A 17,087-nucleotide genomic window follows, 5' to 3' on the forward strand; every position below is an offset into this window, starting at 1 on the left:
ACATCCTATGGTGATGGTTTGCACTTCTCAAAACTTTAATGTGCAGAAGAACCACTTGGAGAGTCTTGTTAAAATGTAGTTTCTGATTCACTGTGTCTTGAATGAGGCACGAGATTCTGCATTTTGAATAGGCCCCCACATAATGCTGCTGTTGCTGGCCTCAACACTGCACTTGAAATACCGTGAGGTCGAATGTACTGTCACCCAAAGTGTAAGTCATATGCAGCTGCTGGTGCACAAAAAGACATTTGGTGATGCACAGGTGAAGATTTTTAAACTTCTAATAGTTCTGTGTTAATTTTTATTAGTAGCAGAAAATTATAACTAAGCACCTGTGGTTTTATAGATAATATTGCTTGAGAGGAGTTTGAAAGGGTATTTAATTTCCTAACTGAGTTGACTTAAATAAAATTATTAAGGCATTGGTAGTATGAGGTATGTGGGTGTAATGATTCTGTGAATGCAATGAGTGAATGAATGAAGTTGGGAGGAGAGGAGGCACAGAGAAGCAAGGAGCATGGGCTTTGGAATGAAGCCAAGATTTGGGCTCAAATCCTGACTCTACCAAACTTATTCTCTTTGAACGTCACTTTTCTCAATGTCAAACGAGGCTAATGTTGTCTACCTCACAGAGTTACTGTGAACAGGAGAAAGATAGTTTGTGGTACATGCCTGGTGCAAGGTGGGGACTGAGATAATGGAGATAAGGGTAGCAATTTTACTATTGCAGAGAGAATGGTGGGCCCAGAGTGAGGGGTACACACTGATTTTAAAGGATACAGGGCAGAGACAGAAGGCATTAGACAGTGGGGTAGTATGAGCTGCACTGGTCCTTTCTTCCTTCATCACATTATAGGACATAGATCCTTGTTTCTCGGTCCAGTTGTGTCATGGTGGTTAAAGGGAAACTTGGAAAGCCAGAAAACTATTTATACAACCTCTTGTTTGTCCCCCCATTGAACTTAGATGCACAGGCAGGAAATTAACCTCATTTTTAGATAGTAAAGAAAGCCCATAGCTTGTGTATGTGTGCCTGTGAGTGCATGCGTCTATATTAGAAAGCTGGACAGAACCTCAAAGCCTCCCCTATAAATAGTTCTAAAACTGAACCTGAGGAGATAAGCTTTACTAACTCTGAAAGGCAAACGATGCCACCAGCCTGATGCCCCAGGAGGAATAAATGGAGCCCCTCTGGCCTTAGTTCTTTGCAATCAGGCCCTTAGTTGCAATGGGACTGAGCCACCTCCCTCTGCATGATATGACTATGGGATACAGACTCTCTCCATGAACTAAACCCAGAGGCTCCCAGAAGGGGATCCCAGCTGTGCCACTCCTGCTTCCTTCTTTTGGCATCTCACAGGGAGCCATGCTGTCTTCTATCCCCCAGGAATGGCCACGGCCCACTTCCATCTAGATAATCTCACTTCCTCCAGGTAGTCTTCATTCATGCGAGTACGACTGATACAGTTTGACTCTGTGTCCCCACCCAAATCTCCTCCTGAATTGTAATCCCCATAATCCCCATGTGTCGAGGGAGGGACTTGGTGGGAGGTAATTGGGTCATGGGTGTGGTTTCCTCCATGCTGTTCTCATGATCGTGAGTGAGTTCTGACGAGATCTGATGGCTTTATAATGGGCTCTTCCCCCTTTACACGCTCTCTCTCACCTGTTGCCGTGTAAGACGTGTATAATTATAAGTTTCCTGAGGCCTCCCCAGCCATGCGAAACTGTGAGTCAGTTAAACCTCTTCCTTTATAAATTACCCAGTCTCGGGTATTCCTTTGTAGCAGCGTGGAAACAGACTAATACGATGACCCAGTCAAAATGGCAATAACTGTTTTTTGCCCAAGAAGCCTAGATTTAAAGCATTTGTGTTATTTTCTCCATGTGTAAAAAGGGAATACAAGGCAGTTCCTCAAAAAGTCAAACATAGAGAACTAGGAACAATTCTACTTCTAAGTATATACTCAAAAGAAAGGAAAACAGATACTGAAAAAAATACATGTGCATGTATGTTCATAACAGCTGTATTCACAATGGGCAAAAGGAGGAAACAGCCCACATCAGTAGGCTAAATGGATGATTAAGTGGATAAATAAATTGTGTGATATAAAATATTATTGAAATATTGCTCAGCCATAAAAAGGAATATAATACCAGAATATGCTCCAATGTGGAGGAACCTTGAAAACACTATACGAAAATATTAAGTGAAAGAAGCCAGACACAAAAGGTCACATATTGTACAATTCCATTTATGAAAAACATCTAGAATAGGTAAACCTATAGAGATAGACCAAAGAATGGTTTTTGCCAGGGTATGGAGGGGAGAGAAGAATGGAGAATAACTGCTTAAAGGGTGCAGGATTCCCTTTTAGGATGATGAAAACGTTTTAGAACTATACAGAGGTGGTGGCTGTACAGCATTGTAAATGTTCTAAATGCCACCGAATTGTTCACTTCAAAGTGGTTAATTTTGCTATATGCATTTTACCAAATTTTTAAAAAAGGAATGGGAATAATTACTCTCTTAATATGATTGCGTGAGAATGATGACGTAGTGCAGGTAGAACCCCAAACACACCCTGTGGCTTAACACTTGTCCCTCAATAAATGCATTTCCCTTCTTCTTCCCAGACTTAATCTTTTCACAGACCACAAGAATCATATCCCTGGTGTCCCATAACAAAGTTGAATTGTCCTTAATTTTTAAAGGGTGATATTAATTGTTTAGGGAAACCCATTGGAAATTAAAAAAAAAAATAATAAAGCAGGAAATGTACAAAAGGTACCATTTCCAAGCCTGGTTTCTGACTATACTACAGCTTTTTTGTTTACCTCTGGGATCTTACTCTCCATCCATTTCTCCAACCTCTGTCTTTGTGCTTCCCATTTGTGCAACAATGAACTATTCTCCTCTATGGTTTTTCAATTTCTAGTTCCAGGCTGGATTTGTGTGAATGAAGTCTTACACCACCTTCATCACACGGAAGTTGCCTTTTATTTTATTTTTGCAAAAGGGTCTCACTCTGTCACCTGGGCTGCTGTGTAGTAGCATGATCACGGCTCACCGTGGCCTCAATCTCCCCAGGCTCAGGTGAACCTCCCACCTCAGCCTCCCAAGTATCTGTGATTACAGACATGCATCACCATGCCAGGCTAATTTTTGTATTTTTTGTAGAGAGGGTTTTGCCGTGTTGCCCAGGCTGGTCTTGAATTCCTGGGTTCAAGTAATCTGCCTGCCCTGGCCTCCTAAAGTGTTGAGATTACAGATGTGAGCCACTGTGCCTGGCCAGAAGCTGCCTTTTAGATATCTTGGCCTCCTTGGACAAAATGACAGAAATGATCAAATATTGCTATCATTTATTGTGAATTTGTGTTGTTTTGAGGTCTAAGAGTGTTTACGTGTGTTTTTTATTCCCGCAACAATCTTATGAGGTGAGTTCTATTATTAGTCCCATCTCACAGATGGAAAACTGATTCGTAGTGAGGTTAAGCAACACACCCAGAGCTGAAATACCAAATAAGTGAATGAACGGACTAAGTTAAGTGAAGGCCTGCCATTCATTGGTTTCCAGAGGGCAGAAGTGTCAGCTCCTATTTTCTATGAGGGGCATATAGCACAAAGAACTGAAGGTGGCTCTTAGACGATGCAGGTGAAGGACACCCATTACTGGATCTGTTCTGACAGACAAGGTCAACGTAACTATGCTAGGCTGATCCTAAAATTCAGGTTGAATATTTCTTATCCAAAATGCTTGGGACCAGAGGTGTTTTCAATTTTGAATCGTTTTTTCTTTTGGATTTTAGAATATTTGCATATACATAATGAGATATCTTGGGGATGGGGCCTACGTCTGAACACGAAATTCATTTGTTTCACATACACCTAATACATGTAGCCTAAAGATAATTTCACTTCCCCCTGGGGACGCTGAGTTTGTTGTGTGCCTGAGTTTTTACTACAATCTGTCACGTGAAGTCAGGTGTGGAGTGTTCCACTTGTGTTGTGATGTCAGCTCTCAAAAAGTTTTAAATTTCGGAGCATTTCAAATTTTGGATCTTTGGATTAGTGATGCTCAATTTTCCAATGACTGTGACTCCAGGTATTCAGGCCCTTGTGTAATCACTTCCTTGGGCTAGCCTAGGAATGTACTTTTAATAAACATAATGCAGGAAAACTGATGGAATAATGTGCCTCATGAGAATGGGCTACAAGGACTCTGGTTTCTATCCTGTCTTCCCCTGTCTCTCTCACTCTCCCTTGCTTGCTCTGCTGGAATCCAGTTGCACTGTTGTAAGCTGCCTGGTGGGGAAGTCCATGTGGTAAGGAACTGATGATTCCAGCCAGTGAGAAACTGCTGTGCCCTGCCAGCTGCCACAGGCATTAACCTGGAAGTGGATTGTCCTCCATTTGAATCTTGAGATGAAGACCGCAGCCTTGTGAGGGACCCCGACTCAAATAACCCAACTAGATCACTTTGATCCCTGACCCACAGAAAATGGGAGACAATGCAGGGACTTTAGAGCAAGTCCCTATGCTAGCCCAAAGAGGTGATTACACAAGTTTGGTTTGAACATTTTGGGATAATTTGTTAAATGGAAATAGACAATCAATACAGTAATATTTCAAATCATACATATCCTTTGCTAGACCCTTTCTAGAGACAGGGGAGACTGAGAGGAATGAGAAGACAGAGTCCCTGCCCTCCAGAAGCTCATGGGCTAGTAGGATGGAAAGATAATCACTTAAAGTGAGAATCTAGAAGTGTGTGCAAGGTACAGAGGTGGCAGAGGAGATTCAACATTAATGAAGGATTCCAGGGCTTTGAAGTAGGAGTAGGAGTTCATAAGAAGATGCTGCAAACTATGTTTTTTGAATGAATGAATACTCTGGAATGGCAAGAGATGGGAAGCAAGACCAATTGAGATACAGGAAATGGGGTTATCATAATTTGGCAACCAATCTGCAGGAAGGGAGGGGTGGAGACAGGAAAAAGTCAAAGATGACTGGATTTTGTTGTTGTTGTTCAGTTAAACAAGTGGTGGTTGTGCCATCAGCTAAGATAAAGATCACAGGAAGAAGACTGCAAAGAGCAGTAAGCCTTTGTAACAGATCTCGGTCATGTGCCATACTGCTGTTCTTTAGCTTTCTTTGATCACTATTTGATAGGAGAGAGAGGGAGAGAGAAAGAGAGAGACAGAGAGATAATGATATTAGTTATCATTGTGCAACAAAACTTAATGATAGCATTCTGAGAATGGCTTAACTGCTCAGGATCTCTCTGAAGTTGCCATCAAGATATTGGTCAGGGCTGCAGTCAGCTAAAGGCTTGACTGGGGCTGGAGGATCCACTTCCAAGATGATTCACATGGCTATTGGCTGAAGGTCTCAGTTCCTCTCCATCAGGCTGCATCTTCCAGGGAGCTAACATCTTTCAGAGCAAGACATTAATCAAAGAGCAAGAGAGTAACCAGGAAGCTGCAAGATATTTTATAACCTAGACTCCTAAGTCATACACTGTCACTTCTGCTTTATCCTATCCCTTAGAATTGAGTGACATAAAAAATTTGTGGCCATATCTTAACACACACACCCATACACGTATGTATGTGTGTATATATACACATTATGTATATGTATGTGTGCTTAGACTGATACCTTAGTAGTCTAATAGTAGTAGATACTTAATAAATATTTATGAATGAAATGTTTACACTGCATGCAGAAGTTTTATTCTATTTCATTTAAAATGTTACAAACATGTTTCTATGGTATTAAGAAATAAAAATATCATAGGCTTTGCATAGACTCAGGCTGGTTTGAGTTTTGAATACCAGATCCATCTCTACAAACCTGGACAAGTCGTTCAACTGCTCCAAAGCACAGTTTCAGTATCTATCAAATGAGAATAATAGCACTTACATATCCCAGAGTTGTTATAAGGATTAAATCACCTAGTATGTGCACAGGACTTAAGCCACTGCCTGGCACATGGCAATCATTATTTAAATGTCATTTATTTTTCATATTTTGCATTCCAGAATGGTGTGGCCTTTCATGTACTTCCCCTGTATTTTCTGCTGCTATTTCCTCCTGGCTTGTGGTTGAGGTTTTAAGGATTCAGACATCCAGGAATGAGGTTTCACAGGGGCCTCATGGTGTGAAAGGGGATACGCTTTCTGTTCTAGTAGAAGCACGTGGTCGCTTCCTGTTCTGTATCTGCTGTAGGAGATCAGAAAGCACAGGGGCTGATGCCAACCATTATGCTGACTGTAGACATGACTAATTGGTTGTCCATTCCAGGAATTAACACTTCTTCCCACAAATACCTGATTACAATGACTAATCAGACAAAAGTTCTTCCCAAAACCTGCGTGAAGTACAGCTCTAATGTAATAAACCTTATTCAATGTAGATATGATTAATTTTTCCATTCTTTCTCCTTATAGGAATCAATAAGTTGTTTAGATGTGTTTAATAGAGAGGAAATGAACAAAAAGTAGGTTTTGCTCCTTTATGAAGGTAACTTTTAAACTTTTTGCCTTTAAAAAAGACCATCTTTTTCATCTACCCAATGAGTGGGATTTTCAGGAAAATTTAGATGTGTTCATTTCCATGATTAGGTGAGGATGATTAACGGTCCTTCCAGCAATTAGTGTTGGATTTCACTGTTACCAAAATGAACTTGCGTTCACAAATCTCACCGCATATATTCTGAGTGCCATATGTTACAGACCAGGGAAAATTTGTTTTCTGTTCTTGCCTCATTCCACATCTAATGCTCATGTCTCCCTTGCTCTTTTATGACATTCAAAGTACATCTGGAATGCTGAGATCCTCTCAGAAAATAATTATTTGGAGGCACCACATGAGTAATAGGACAGTAAGAAAAGAGAATACAATGTTCTGGGACTTTCTAACGCACACGACATCAAATTGTAGGAGCTTTTTTTTTTTTATGTTCATCAAAGTAATCTTTGTTCCAGGCTCATCCCCTTGGAAAGAAGCTTGTCTGGTGTGTATGAGTGACAATGTGGATGAAAAGCACCATATAAATTTCAAATGGCATTGTTAGTTGAAGTGGAATGGTAGGACAAGAGACTGGCACCCATGGTAGTGGCCTCTGGTCTTTCTCTGTCTCTCATAACCATGGCACTGAGGGTCCTGAGGTTGCATTATTCAAGGTAGATTATTTAGGCAGGAAAATAGATGGAGACAATGTTAGCCAGAGTGTCCCCATGAGCATGGGTCTCAGACAAATATTCTGGACCAAAGAGATCCTAAGTATCCCAATGACGGTAATCTTCAAATTCCCTCCCTCCAATTCTATCCCACTCCCACCATAACTCTTAGTATCTCCATGTTCATGATGGGGGACAAGGTGTGTGTGTGAAGATGAAAGAAGACTCAATACAAGACATAACTTACAGCTGTGAATTTATGTTGTTGTCATCCATTGATTCAATATAGATTGAACATTTAATATTATAGGGATGGAAAAATCCCACCACCATCCTCTTAGGGTTCCAACTGGGTCAAATAATTAAATCGCCATAAGATAGGTGAACAGGGTAAAAGCATAAAATAAGTTTTATGTGGCACAGGAGCCTCCATAAAGAAATGATGACATGAATAAACAGAATGAGTTATTTATGTACTGGATTGGACAAAGAATAGTTAGTTATGAAGAAACAACTACATTATGTGGGGAGGCTTAAAAGATAAGAGTTTCTCTAACAAGGTCTATACCATATTCTCTTGGTCTCTCTTGCCTTTTTTTCCAGTATAGGAAGAGTGTCTTTAATATGGGAATTTTGTTTTCTGCTTTAAAGAAACAGCATAAAGGTCAATGTGGTCTTCTTGCACCTGCGGTTTTTTCAAGTGCCTTTAACTTAATAAATAGTTAATATGCTGGGGGGCCAGGGGGTAATGTTGGGGCTAGGGAGGGCATCAGGAAGAATAACTAATGGATGCTGGGCTTAATACTTAGGTGATGAGTTGATCTGTGCAGCAAACCACCATAGCACACGTTTACCCGTGTAGCAAACCTGCACATCCTGCACATGTACCCTGGAACTTAAAATAAAAGTTGAGGCCGGGCGCAGTGACTCACACCTGTAATCCCACCACTTTGGGAGGCCGAGGTGGGTAGATCACCCGAGGTCAGAAGTTTGAGACCACCCTGGCCAATATGGTGAAACCCCATCTCTACTAAAAATACAAAAATCAGCTAGGTGTGGTGGCACACACCTGTAATCCCAGCTACTTGGGAGGCTGAGGCATGACGATCACTTGAACCCGGGAGGTGGAGGTTGCAGTGAGCCGAGATCACGCCACTGTACTCCAGCCTGGGTGACAGAGAGAGACTCAGTCTCAAAAAAAAAAAAAAAAAAAGAAAGTTGGAGAAAAAATAGTTAACATGCCAGAGGGATATATTTTTAACTCTTTTATGATTTGTGAGGTGCTGTTCTCAGTGCTTAGAAAGCTAAGATTCTAGATAATGGGTCATGACCACACTCTTGGGAACACTAGACCAAACCTAAAACAACAAACAAACAAAAAACTCCAAACAAAATCCAAGTTCTGTATTTTATTTATTTATTTACTTATCTATTTATTTATTTATTTATTTATTTTGAGACAGAGTCTCACTCTTGTTGCCCAGGCTGGAGTGCAATGGCACGATCTCGGCTCACTGCAACCTCTGCCTCCCAAGTTCAAGTGATTCTCCTGCCTCAGCCCTCAAAGTAGGTGGGATTACAAGAATGCGCCACCATACCTGGCTAATTTTTATATTTTTAGTAGAGATGGGGTTTCACCATGTTGGCCAGGCTGGTCTTGAACTGCTGACCTCAGGTGATCCACCTGCCTCGGCCTCCCATAGTGCTGGGATTACAGGCGTGAGCCACTGCTCCCGGCCTGTTCTGTATTTTAAATGCCAAATCAAGAGAAAACAAATTTTAAGCTTTTCCATTCAACTCGTGTTACAGTTATAACTGAATTCAAGGACTGGAGGTGGGCTTTTAAAAAGCTGCTTTTTTTTTTCTACTATGAAACATTTAGGACATAAAAAATGTTTAAAGAACAGTTTAGTGAACATCCAGATATTTATCACATAGTTTAAGAAATAAACCCCATGAATTCATTTGAAGGTCTTTGTGTGTTCCTCCTCTGCCTTATCCCACTCTCAACCTACAGAATTGCTATCTTGATTTTTACGTTATCATTCCTAGAGGTGTGATTATTTAATAGGGGCATTCTAAGTCAATAAGGTTAGGATGAAATAAAAGCCATCATGTTGAATCATGTGTCTACTGAAATCCTCTATCTTGAAGGACTTTTAGCAAAAAATTAGAAATGTGAATGTTTGGTCTAAATTCTCCACTGCATTATAATTAATGTCATTGATTTTTATGCTTTTTTTTTTTTTTTTTTGAGACGGAGTCTTGCTCTGTCACCAGGCTGGAGTGCAGTGGTGCAATCTCGGCCCACTGCAACCTCGGCCTCCCAGGTCCAAGCAATTCTCCTGCCTCAGCCTCTCAAGCAGCTGGGACTACAGGGGCCTGCCACCATTCACAGCTAATTTTTGTATTTTTAGTAGAGACGGGGTTTCATCCTGTTGGCCAGGATGGTCTCAATCTCTTGACCTCGTGATCCACCCACCTCGGCCTCCCAACGTGCTGGTATTACAGGCGTGAGCCACCACACCCGGCCTGATTTTATGCTTTAACATTCACATCTTCTACTGAAGGACTATCTTCTAAGGATGATTTCAGGTTGTAAGCAGGAGTCCATGTAAAACCCAAGAGTGAGAATGCAAAAAGGGATTGCAGGGCCTAGAAGATACTCTGTCTCTCGTTTCTGCTTCTCTGTCTGCCTGATTCTTCTTGCTCTTCATGCAAGATTTCTCCAAAACAAAGACATTCATAAGGCTACCAGGTTTAGCAAAAACTTTATAGATACATATATATTTTATATATTATGTATCTCGTATATATGTGTTTGATGCTTGATTACATTTAAATTTCCGCTAAAGAATAAAGATTTTTAGTGTTCATCCTACGCAATAACTGGGTGTATTTACACTAAAAATATTTCATTGTTTATTAGAAATATAAGCTTAAATGAGAATTCAATATTTTTTTCTGCCAACCCTAAATAGCTTTTACAAATATACGTCTCAAGCCCAGCCCCATGTAGAGACTCGTTTTCTCTTCCTTTTAACTCCTGGGAGGGAAAAGACTCTGATTGGTCCAGCCTTGGTGGGTTTCAAGTAGCTTGGGCTGAGTAATGTTGATTACACAGTGCTACTAGAAGACTACCTTTGTGGATTAAGGCAGCAACTACAGAGGGTGATTGTGAGCTGGGATGACATACAATGTCCACTCCAGACTATCTGTATTTACTTCGCTTTCAAATAAATGGAGATTGTTCTCGTTGGTTCCTTCTCTCATTTCTCTTAGGAGGCAGTGTTATGTGGCAGGTAGGAACACAGACCCTGAATTTCCACTTCCAAGCGTGATTCCTTCCTCTACTACTTACCAGTTACGATTTTGTGCAAGTCAACTTCCTTATATGTAAAAACGAGATAGATAATAATAGTAACTATAGGATTGCTGTGAAAATTAAATGAACTAAAATAGGTAAAGCACTTAGAACCCTGCCTGTAACATATTAAAATTATACAACAGTTTATTATTTTTCTCCTGAGAAAAGTGTATGCCCAGTGGCTTTCAGGAAGGATGTCCAGGAAGAGAGGGGGACAATCTAACTGACTCACTTGGTTTTAAAACCAGTGTATACCAACTTTAGGCTTATTCTTCAAAATATTTTAGCCCAGAAGTCTACTAATATTTCTGTAAAGGGTCAGATAGCAAATATTTTAGGCTTTATGGGTCCTGTGGTGTTTGCACAATGCCCCAAGTGTGCTGCTGTAGCATGAAAGCAGGCATGGAAAATTTATAAGCAAATGGGTGTGGTCTTGTTTCAATAAAACTTTATTTACAAAAACAGACAGTGGGCCAGATGTGGCCCATGGACAGTAGTTTGTTAACTGCTCCTGTAACCCTTCTGGCATCACTCTTTTTCCCACTTTTCAAAGAATCAATTGAAACTAATATAAACTAATCCTCCTGTCCCCCCCTCAGTCATGGATTTCACAGACACTGAATGACGACTGCCTTGAACACTTGCTGAAAATCAGTTTTACAATATGCTAAGAGCCTTAAAACTGTAGAGACCATTTATTAGTTTGACAAACATTGATTCAGAATCCATGATATATTAAGCACCCTTCTGGCCACTACTGGACATCCCTTCAAAAGAAATCATCAGAGAAGCAGACACAGACAAGGAAAATCAAATATATTTATCAAAATGTGATTACAATAGCAAATAATTTTCATAGCTTCTTAAAATACAACCTAAATTTATAATGTTTAGGTAAATTCTGGTACAATCATAATATGGAATATTATGCTCTCAACAGATTTCCATCCTTCACAATAATGTAAATTTTTTTTACTAGTTTTCAAGTTTTAGGATCAACTTCTAGAGAAAGCACTAATGTTTCAATTATGGACTAAAGAGAGAATATAAAAATTAGCAAAACCAACTAAAAGAAAAATTATAGCTAACAGAAGTTGAGAAGTGTTAGGGAAGATAACAAGATGAGGCCCTTACAAAATGTTAAATAAAAAAAACCCAGGCCGGGCGCGGTGGCTCACGCCTGTAATCCCAGCACTTTGGGAGGCCGAGGCGGGCGGATCACGAGGTCAGGAGTTCGAGACCATCCCGGCTAAAACGGTGAAACCCCGTCTCTACTAAAAATACAAAAAATTAGCCGGGCGTAGTGGCGGGCGCCTGTAGTCCCAGCTACTTGGGAGGCTGAGGCAGGAGAATGGCGTGAACCCGGGAGGCGGAGCTTGCAGTGAGCCGAGATCCCGCCACTGCACTCCAGCCTGGGCGACAGAGCGAGACTCCGTCTCAAAAAAAAAAAAAAAAAACCCAGTTTTATAAATAGGGAAATCAAGGTTTAGATATGTTATTTATAGTATAATGGTAATCAAGAAAGGAATTTAAAAATAAAGGCATAACTTGGGAGAAGAGGCAGGAGAAAATATGTGTTTGGAGATGGTGGTAGAAATGAACCCAACTCCCAACCATCATAGCAGGAAATCAACAGATAATTCCTGAAGTAGAGACATCTAGAAGTCACATGTTATTTAGCCATATGGAGGTAACAGAGAAACTTCAAATGAAAATGCTTAAAAAGTGGTTCCCAAGGGGATATGACTAGATGAGGAGGGTGGTGTGTGTGGAAATAGGGGAGGGAACTATTGCATTTCACTATTGAAAAGGAAACATTGTTTATGAATAGTCTGTAATAACATAGAAAAATATTTCTAATTGAAGTGGAAAGGCTTGTAACAAATTGTATACACAGAACTTTAGCAAGTATATAAAAATGAAAAAGAAAATAAGCAAAATGCTATGCATAGGGAAATGCCAAATTATCTACAGCTCTCTGGATGGTGGGAAACAGGATCATTTTATTTTTTGTCACAACCTTCTTCATTTCTGTATTTCCCCAATTTTCTATAGCAGAATTGCATTACTTTTATAATGCCAAAAGAAATTACACATTAAAAGACTTGAATGGTAGCTCTTTGGTTCAGTTTTCTATACTCTCTGTGTTAGATAGGTATCAAAAAGGAAGGTTTGGCTGGGAGTCAGAGGTCGTGGGATTTTGCTTTTGCTCTGCTAACAATAAGCTGTACCTCATGGGTGGGTTCCCAGCCTCTTCTCTTCTACTGCAAAGGGAAGGTTGAGCTAGGTGATCTCCAAGCTTCCTTCTTTCTCTTGCACTTTAGGATTAATTCTAAAGCAATTCATTATGCACTGGGAGCAACTCCTTATTCTTTCATTTTTATTTCATTTTTTTTTATTTTTTTATTTTTTTTTGAGATGCAGTTTCACTCTTGTCTCCCAGGCTGGAGTGCAATGGCACGATCTCAGCTGACTGAAACCTCCGCCTCCCGGGTTCAACCAATTCTCCTGCCTCAGCCTCCCGAGTAGCTGGGATTACAGGCATCTGCCACCATGCCCAGCTAATTTATTATTACTATTAGTAGTAGTAGTAGTAGTATTTTTAGTAGAGACAGGGTTTCACCGTGTTGGCCAGGCTGGTCTCAAACTCCTGACCTTTGGTGATCCTCCCACCTCGGTCTCTCAAAGTGCTGGGATTACAGTCATGAACCACCACGCCCAGCCTATTTCATTTTATTTTTAACAGCTTTAGTGAGGTATAATTGATATACCAAAAAAAAACGTGCATACATTTAATGAATACAGTTTGATGAGTTTGGACATATGCACACATCTGTGAACCCATCGCCACAATCAACATCATAGATACATCCATCATATCAGTTCCAAAAGTTTCCTTGTGTCCTTTTTCTCTTTTTTTTCTTTGTGGTGAGAATATTCATATACGTAATTTAACATAGTCAAATTTATAGAAGCAGAGAATAGAATGGTGATTAGCAGGGCCTAGAGGGAAAGGAAATGGGGAGTTGTTCAATTGGCATAAATTTTCAATTATGCAGGATGAATACTCTCTACAGATCTGCTCTACAATATAGAACCTGTAGTTGACAATACTGTATTATGCTCTCAACAATTTGTTAAGAGGGTAGATCTTCTGTTAAGTGTTCTTACCACAGCTCCTTATTCTTAGTCATCATGATCCACACAACAGGATCCCAGTCCCGTTTGGTTCCCTTGAAATGATCTGTGTGTGCACCCTTGTCAAATAGAACCTGCTGTTGGCATCTCAGATGCAGCAAAGAGACCATGGGCTTTGGAGTCCGGCAGACCTGGCCACTCATTTATTGTGTACCTTGGGGGAAAATCACTTGTAGCATAGCACCTGCAATGCTGACTGGTACACAGTGATTTGTAAAGAAGAAATTTCTCTGAACCTACCTCCCTGTCTTTAAAAGGAGACACATAACAATAATCCTTACTTTCTAGAGTAATTGTGAGAACAAGAGAGCTTGTATGTCAAAGGACGTAGCATAGTGTGTGGCACATGACAGGGTCTTAGTAAGAGGAAGCTGTCACTACAGTACCCAATCTTTAGTATGTTTATAAAGCTTAGCACAGAGGTTTATGCCCCATATTCATTACCTCGTTTAATCTTCTTGTGGTCCTTCCAGTTAGGGAGGGATTTCTCTCAGGTTGGGGCTACAACATGAAGTGTAGCTAAGAGCATGGACTTGAGACAAACAGACTTCCATTGTCTAGCTGTGTAATTAGGAAAGTTATGTAACTTCTCAAAGCACCTTTATTTTCTCATCTGTAAAATGGGATGTTAATAGGATACCTACCTCAAGGATGGTAGTGAGAATTAAATAAATTACTGTATGTAAATTGCATGGAGGAGTGCCTGGTGCATAATATAGTTAGCTATTATTATTCTTGTTTTACAGATGAGATCACTGAAACTGGAAGTGGATGGATAGCTCTCCTATGGAGGAGGGTCACACATTTAAGAGTGAAAACATGAACCCAGGCGGGTAGAAGCCATCACTTGCTTGCTTAATCATCATGCTGTTTACCCTCTCCCTGGTCAACTATTTAGCATAAGTGAATATGGATAAAATTGCCCAGATGAACTGTTGCTCACTACATATTGCATTTGTAGGTTAGAGTAAATAACATCTGATAGAAAGTGTCATTACAATTAAAAAAAAAAAGAGAGAGAGCTTCAGATGCCCAGTGTTGTACCCAAGCTAAAGATGAAGGATGGCATTTGGAAAGGGCATATCACAGGGACTGCAGAGCCTGGGCATGGAGCGATGACTCAACACTGAGTCCCTGGTTGCTACCCACAGTCTGGATGGCTTGCTGGTAGCCTGGGAAGCGAGGGTGGAGGGGTCAGTGGCTTTGTGTTGGAAATTGTGGAGCAGAGAAGAAACAACTATTGCAAAAGTTTCCTGCAACCACAGAGAACGTGTCCAGAGTGATTTATTGCAACTGGAGTTTCATTATTTCCTTCTGTCTAGGGGATTCTGTGTGTAGGTTTCTGCTGACCTCCTTCCCCAGGAAGCGAGAACAGAATGTGACCTCTCCTTGTTCTTTATTGAGTCCAAGTGCTCAAATGCACCTTCAGGTCAGACGCAAACCCATGAGGGATCTACTTTGAGCCCACAATCATGGAATTCTGATGTGCTACAAGGTGGCAGTAAAAATGGAAACCATCATTCCTGATATTTTAAGCCAGTACCATGTTCCAGTCATACTATATCACCGAATCTAAAATGACTTCAATAACTTTCACTTTTGTTTCATGTACCACTAAGAAAAAAAACCCTCCATCCAATAACCTAGGATATACCCTCAATTGTAAGTCACATTCCAATTCCAGAGATGATAAAATGTGGTAAACATGTGTCTGAAGAGTAATTCAATATAGTGTTAGCTCATTTGATCCTCCCATTGACTCCACAAAGCAGGCATAAATATACACCTCCTTCAAGAATAGGAAAGTGGTTCAGAGATATTAGATAACTTGTTCAAAGTTAAACAGTCAGTAAGAAAGGGCCAAAATTTAAACCTGGGCAGCCTGATGCAAGCCCATGCACCTCCTGCAACCTGCAAGTCACCTGTTCTCTGTGCATTTAAGGAAGGAAGCCTGGTGGTATCTTCGTGTTCCTTCTCTCCCTTTCCTCAGCTGAACTTCAGGCTTCACACATTACAGCTTCCCTGTCCCAGACTGAGTCCCTAGCTGCTTCCAGAGGCCAGTAGAGCCCCAGAGGTCAGAACTTCCTCCTTGAATCTTTTCAAAACTCTCTGGTTGGGAACAGCAGAAACTATCAATAGCAGACGGGGAGCTTGTTGGGAGAAAAAGGGCAGCTTGCAGAATGGACCAGAGAGTGGGACATGGGCAACGCCAGGAGTCTGGATGCCAAGAAGTCTTCAAACCTCTCCTTGTAAGAATCTGCATTAGCCAATTCTGATTAATTTTCCTAAAGTCGTGTCACAAAATGCAAGAGTCAACATTTCAGGACAGACAACCCCGTTGAGGATTCTCAGGGGAAGTGTAAACTCAGCAGGGAGTTCTTCAAGAGGAAATTTAGGCAAAGAGTTCAGGCTTTGGGTTCAAACTGCCTTCTTTTTTTAAATTTTATTATTATTATACTTTAAGTTTTAGGGTACATGTGCACAACATGCAGGTTTGTTACATATGTATACATGTGCCATGCTTGTATGCTGCACCCATTCATTCAAACTGCCTTCTTGCACAGCCAGCTCTGCCTACCCTCTGGGTGACCCTGGGAACCTAACCCCTATGCACCTCAGTCCCTGCCTCTGTAGAATGGAGATCACAACAGCCCTACCTCACAGGGCTTGGAGGATGTAGGAGATGATGCTTCACACCATGTACACAGCAAGTGCTTAATAAATGTTGGCAACCATCTGTCCCTTCATGTGTCAAACTTTGAAAGTTACAGCTCTTTGTCACAGAAACTTTCTGATGCCTACAACTTCATGATTTTTTTTCCAGAAGTATCTAAAGTCCCTAAGATTGGAAATGCCTCATGTTTGATTTTGAGCTACCACTTGGAAGTGAAAACCCTCAGGTCTCAAATTTTCTGTTGAAAATATGTAATATCTGACATTGGTATATAAATGGATCATTTCCATAGTCATCCTTCAAATGCCTTGTTTTTTTTTTTTTGATCCACTATGTACATAGTCTGTGCCCAACACTGTGGCAATGTCTATAATCTATATGCAAGGAGATAAGGTCTGTATCATTCATGAATTTATGACTTAATAGGTCAGAAACCTATTAAGTTGTAAACAATAGGTCATAAACTTAAGGAATAAACTAGGTTTCCCAACCTCATACTATTGACATTTTATCAATTCTTTGTTGGGAGGAGCCATCCTGTGCATTGTAGGATGTTTAGAACATCCCTGGTCTCTACTTCTAGATGCCAGTAGCAAATACCCTTCCCTTTAGTTTTAAAAACCAAAAATACCTCCATTTTTTTTTTTCTTTTTGAGACAGAGT

At 40.5% G+C, this 17,087-nt stretch overlaps 1 protein-coding gene and 1 long non-coding RNA gene across 5 annotated transcripts in view, besides 1 other annotated feature; both read left to right on the top strand.

Annotated features, from left to right (window-relative positions):
* Positions 1-16,485, top strand: part of LOC107984137 (uncharacterized) — a 71,517-nt gene extending 55,032 nt beyond the window's left edge. The window contains exon 3 of the long non-coding RNA XR_001752087.2: positions 14,497-16,485. This is a non-coding gene — a long non-coding RNA (uncharacterized LOC107984137). The remainder of the gene's footprint in view (positions 1-14,496) is intronic.
* SHISA9 (shisa family member 9) overlaps positions 1-17,087 on the top strand; it is a 661,420-nt gene that overhangs the window by 399,666 nt on the left and 244,667 nt on the right. The gene's annotated exons all lie outside the window — the stretch shown is intronic.
* Positions 5,538-6,737: an enhancer, noted in NCBI's record as "P300/CBP strongly-dependent group 1 enhancer chr16:13400658-13401857 (GRCh37/hg19 assembly coordinates)". NCBI's record gives its function as "activates an origin of replication core promoter dependent on BRD2, BRD4, P300/CBP, MED14 and CDK7 cofactors, with strong dependence on P300/CBP, by STARR-seq in HCT116 cells {active_cell/tissue: HCT116}" and the evidence as "EXISTENCE:reporter gene assay evidence [ECO:0000049][PMID:35650434]".

This window comes from Homo sapiens, chromosome 16 (assembly GCF_000001405.40).
Source record: "Homo sapiens chromosome 16, GRCh38.p14 Primary Assembly".
NCBI classification, from domain to species: domain Eukaryota; kingdom Metazoa; phylum Chordata; class Mammalia; order Primates; family Hominidae; genus Homo; species Homo sapiens.